Source organism: Homo sapiens, chromosome 2 (assembly GCF_000001405.40).
Source record: "Homo sapiens chromosome 2, GRCh38.p14 Primary Assembly".
NCBI lineage: Eukaryota > Metazoa > Chordata > Mammalia > Primates > Hominidae > Homo > Homo sapiens.
Window position 1 is genome coordinate 28,702,593 of NC_000002.12, and position 6,048 is coordinate 28,708,640.

Here is a 6,048-nt window from a genome sequence, read left to right on the forward strand (position 1 = left end):
GGGGAACAGATGAGAGAGGAGCAGCAACCAGGAAAGAGCCAAAGCTGAAAACAAGCAGAACAAGAACAGGTCAAGGTCAGAACCTCCACTGTCAAATCCAAGCGTGAATGACAGCAAGAACAGAGTCCAGAAGCCAGGCTGAGTGCTGGAACAGCTCCTCCAGACTGGACATGCTGTGAGGGCAGGGGTCCCAGCCGCCTTGCTAAGTGCCGTGTGCTTTGAGCCCAGAGCAGTGTTTGGCAGGAGACAACAAGGCCTACATAAATACTAGTTGTCCACGCCATTGTCGAAATTGGCAGAAGCCAGTGAATGAACAACATGAGGGAAACAGGGATAGACTAAATTGTGTGCACAACCTCTGAAAGTGAGCCCTTCTCAGTGAGTGCCCTGACCTGTCTTAAAGTGCTGGGGTTGATCCAACCGTTTTCATTTCATGCACCTCAAACCTTCCCTCTCTCCTTCCTGACAGCCTGTATTAGTTTCCTGTGGTTGCTGTAACAAATGACCACAAACTTCTGTTGTCTCTAGCTTAAAGCAACAGAAATGGGCTGGGCGCCATGGCTCATGCCTGTAATCCCAGCATTTTGGGAGGCCGAGACGGATGGATCACTTGAGGTCAGGAGTTTGAGACCAGCCTGGCCAACATGGCGAAAGCCCGTCTGTACTAAAATTAGCTAGCGGTTGCAGGCACCTGTAATTCCACATACTTGGGAGGCTGAGGCAGGAGAATGGCTTGAACCCAGGAGGCGGAGGTTGCAGTGAGCTGAGATCGCGCCACTGCACTCCAGCTTGGGTGACAAAGTGAGACTGACTCAGAAAAAAAAAAAAAAAAAAAAAAAAGAATTCTCTAGAGACCTGAAGTCCAAAGTCAGTATCATAGGGCCAAAATCAAGGTGTGGGCAGGGCCACATTCCCTCCGGAGGGTCTGTAAGGGATAAGCCTTCCACACCTCTTCCAGCTTCTGGTGTCTCCAAACGTTCTCTGGCTTGTGGCTGCATCACTCAGATCTCTGCCTCCATCTTCACAGGGCTGCTTTCCCTCCACGCCTTCTCTTCTCCATGTGTCTCTCTTCTGTGAGTATCTCTCTCACAAGGATGCTTGTCAAGGCAGTTAGGGCCCACCCACATCATCCAAGAAAATCTCATCTCTAGATTCCTAACTCGATTGTATGTGCAGGCACCCTTTTTCTAAGCAAGGCCACATTCATAGGTTCCAGCATGTAGGCATATCTCTTGGGGGCCATCATTCAACCCACTACACCTCCCCTGTCAAAATGTACCTGTCTTAGGCCAGACACAGTGGCTCATGCCTATAATCCCAGCACTTTGGGAGGTGGAGGCAGTCAGATCACATGAGGCCAGGAGTGTGAGACCTGCCTGGCCAACATGGTGAAACCCTGTCTCCACTAAAAATACAAAAATTAGCCAAGTGTGGTGGTATACGCCAGTAATCTCAGCTACTTGGGTCGCTGAGGCATGAGAATCGCTTGAACCCAGGAGGCAGAGGTTGCAGTGAGCTGAGATCACGCCACTGCACTTCAGCCTCAGGAACAGATAGAAACACTGTGTTAAAAAAAAAAAATACCTGTCTTGTGCTTCATTACTTTAGGTCCCATGAGATATTATATTTTCAGCAAAAATGTTAATGATGTAATGTGTTTCCTTTCTGTTTTATATCAGATAATTCCTAGAGATGTAAGGCCTTGGTCAAGAAAACGGCTGTCTAGGGGCTAGGATTTCAGGCCCCAACCGGGCCTCTGAAGAGGCTAGCTTGGAGAAGAGGCTTTTTTTCTCAGCATCAACCCTTCCATCAGCTCACAGTTTGCACGGGGTTTGCCCCTGTCATCTGGTCACTGGAAATCATGGGAGAGTTGGAAGTACTGTTGGAGCATTCCATCTCCTCCTGGCTTTCTAAATAACTTTTGCATCTTTCTAGTCCTAATCCTTCCCTTTAAAACTAGTTAATAGAAGCTCTGTACTGTGCTAAGCAATTTACAAGCATCTTATTTAATCATTGTAACATTCTTTATGAAGTAGTTACAATCATTTTTGTACGTTTCAGAGAAAGAAATTGAGGCTCAGATATGAAATGGCAGAGCCAGGACTTGAACCCAGGTTCTCTCACTCCAAACCCCATCCTTTGAACCACCCTACTGATGTACCTCCTATGGATCTTCAGATAGCATTTTCTCAAAACTGGGCTGTCAGAAGCATGATGGGCGTGGCCAAGGGAGGATTACACAAGCTGGTGAGCTGCGATGGAGAGCCGCTGGTTCTGCTCCCAGAAAGTCAAGGATTATGGAGTGTGATGGTTGCTGCCTGGGGTGGAGAGTGTGCATGTATATTGATTAGTGCCTACCATACTAAGAAATTCCCTTCTCTTTAGAAGTGAACAGTCTCAAATTGGCAAAATATAGAAGGACAAAGGTGTAAAAGGACTGAGCAGAATCCGAAGTTTTCCTGTGAGCATGGAGGTGGGGCAGGGAGAATGAAGAAGAAAATGCAACTGAGAAAATAAGTCTAGTTCTTGGTAAGGTGAGATGTCTTTGACATTCATGAAGGAACTTCCTGTTCCTTCCTAGCAGGAAGAACATTTGCCTGGTGATGGTCTGTCAGACTAAACTGCCTTACCTATAAAGAAGGCAGGAAACTAACATTTGAGCATGTAGATTTTCAGACTATTTCCCTTGGATTATTTCACTTCATCATCAGAGGAAGATGTTCCTCCCTTCATATTGCAGATAGGGCAATGGGGCTCAGAGGGCTGGAGTGGTTTGCCCAACATCATTCAACTAGTAATGGCAAAGCTGAGATTTGAGTTTGTCTTCTAACTCCAATCTCAGGGCTCTAATTTAGATTGCAGTTGATCATTTATTATAAAACCTTGGCAATGCTTGATTGCCTGTTTCAGTGTGAAGAGTGCACTTGTTTCACAGCAAGGTGAAATCAGAAAACGTGCAAGGTCACTAGCCTCCCCAACCCTGCCTGCCTTCTTGTGTCTCAACTCCAGCTTTGTCCACCTCTGCCTAGAAAACTCCTTCTCAAACTTTAAAATCCACCTCAAGTGCCTCCTCTCTTTGAAACTTTAGATCCACTACCTTCTGGCTCCAGGTAGAATAGCTGTTCTTTTACATGTTCTTTCAGACCCATATGCATATGTGCATTACTAATAAGTCACTTTTAATATGCCTGTCTCCCCCACTAGGATGTGAACTGCTCAAAGACAGGGACTGTCCTATTCCTTGTGGCCCAGCCAGGCCCAGCTCAGGGAGGTTAGGCAAGAGCTGTTGGGTCTAAGGCTCTCAGTGCAGTCTACTTTGGCTCTGAACTTCACCAGTGCAATCAGGTAAACCTTGGTCTCTTCCTTCCCCTAGCTAGATGTCCAAGTGACTCATGCCTTTTCCTAGAGGCCATAAACATGTCCCTGCTCAGATGCTAGTGCTGAGTTCCACTCTGCTATGTGGCTTTGCTGGTGTCCCCTTGCCTATCTCCATGTGGTCTCCATATGTCCCCTATATCCCTGGTCTACCCTGCTCTGTCCCTAATCATACAGGCTAGACTTGGCTTGACTTTGCCACTGCTCTGGTGACATCTCTCCTCTCCTTCTCATCCACTCCTGTCCCTGCCACATCACTCCAGGGAAAAGCAAACTGAAATCCTCTCCCAACCACTGGTGCATTACGCCCTATGACAGGCACGATAATGGCCCTTAAAGATATCACGCCCTAATCCCTGGAACCTATAAATGTTACCTAATAAGAAAAAGAGGTCTTTGCAGACGTGATTCAACTAAGGATACTAAGGTCAGGTATAGAGGCTGAGGCAGGTGGATCACTTGAGCTCAAGAGTTCGAGACCAGCCTGGGCAACGTGGCAAAACCCTGTCTCTACAAAAAAAGAAAAAAGAAAAATACAAAAATTTGCCGGGTGTGGTGGTGTACACCTATAGTCCCAGCTACTCAGGAGGTTGAGGTGAGATGGACTGCTTGAGCTTGGGAAGTCGAGGCTGCAGTGAGCTGTGTTCTCGCCACTGCACTCCAGCCTGGGCGACACAGTGAGACCCTGTCTCAAAAAATTAATTAATCGATTAAGGATTCTGAGATGGAGAGATTATCCTGGATTATCCAGGTGGGTCCTAAATGAAATCACAAGTGTCTTATAAGTTAGAGAATGAGGAGCATTACACACACACACATACACACACACACAGAGAGAGAGAGAGAGAGAGAGAGAGAGAGAGAGAGAGAGAGAGAGAGAGAGAGAGAGAGCCATGTGAAGCCACAGGCAAAGACTGGATGCAGCCATGAGCCAAGGAATGCCAGCAGCCACCAGGAACTGCAAAAGGCAAGGAGCAGTTTCTACCCCAGAGCCTCTGGGGGGAGTGCAGCCCTGCTGCCACCTTGCTTTTGACCCAATGATACTGATTTTGAACTTCTGGCCTCCAGAACTGTGGGAAAATAAATCTCTGTAGTTTTAAGCCACCCAGTTTGTGCTAATTTGTTACACCAGCCACAGGAAACTAATACAGGTCCCAAAGGGATTGACCTTGCTCTCCTAGTTTTTTTTTTTTTTTTTTAACCCCGCTAGTTTTACAACTGGCTCAACTGCCTCACTCCTCTGGCTTCTTACAGCCCCTTTCTCTAAGGACCTGGACTAGTAACCACCATTTATTGAGCACCTACTACATGCCAGGTACTGAGGCTTCCATGGGCTACATCACTAATCCATGCAATAACCCTGTGAGATGGGTATTGAGGCCAAAAGAAGTCAGGTGACTTGCCCATGATCACACAGCTGCTAGAAAATGCCAGAGCTGGGATCTAAAAGCAGGTCTAACTCCAAAGCCTATGGCTGTGATCCTGCTGCCTCACTACTCAAGTAGGGGCCATCACTAGTTGACTGACTGCCAGTTCTCATGTGTTTTTCTCCAAAAGCCTATTGGCATCTCATACAAATAATAAGTGCTATTATATGGCAGGCATTGTGCTCAGGACTTTACATACATTATTTTATTTTTCTCATCAGTGCAACTCCATGAGGTAAGAGCTATTATCATCCCTTTTTACTGACAAGGAAATTACTGCTAAGTGGTAGACCCGGCACCAGGCCCTGGGTTTCTGGGGTCCTGGACAAGTGTCATTTCCTCTGATCTGCTCAGCCTCTCATTTGCACCAGTGCCCTGGGCTGTAATTTGACTTGGACTTGGTTCAGACTTCTGAAAGGCCTCTGTGTTGTCCAAAGTTTGGAGGACTTCCACCAAGTTTATGTGTGGAGCTTGCTTGTTAGTTTCCAGAGGGTTCAAAACACCCACAGTGCTGCATAAATATTCCACTGCCCAGACATTCACAAACACCCTACCCACATCTTTAAAAGTCTCTCTATCTAGTCCTATCTGTGGCCTCCTCCTCTCCTCATTAGAAGCCTTGAGATAGTTACATTGCAAAATTAACATATTAAAACAAATTTGCAAAATATAAATTATTGTAATGCATTATAACAATGATAATATAAAAATTGGGAAAGAAGAAAAATGTTAAGGATTTCATCAAAATATGTGTCCTAAGTAAAGTCTTTTATAAAAATGCATCTCAGTGGAGGTGGATAGAGGGAAGAATGCCAGGGAAGACAGAAAGAATGAGGCAGAAAGCAAGATTCTCTATATTTATAAACCCTGAATACCTAAATGGGTTTATTTAGAATCAGTGGTCATTTGCATGCCTTCATAGGAAATGTTGAAAAACTTAATTGAAACAGCAATTCATACAGCACAGCCAACAGACAACAAACTGCCTTTGGAAGTGAATGAGGACTCCCTGAATTTCCTGGATCATCTTGGTTCTTTATAGACTTTGCAAAGGAACAAGAACCCAACAAAAGGGAAAAAGAACTCTCCATGATTGTTGACAGCTGTATAATAATGAAAAGAGACCAGGACCTGGCCGGGTGCAGTGGCTCACACTATATTCCCAACGCTTTGGGAGGCCAAGGTGGGTGGATCGTTTGAGCTCAGGAGTTCAAGACAAGACTGGGCCACATGGTGAAACCCTATC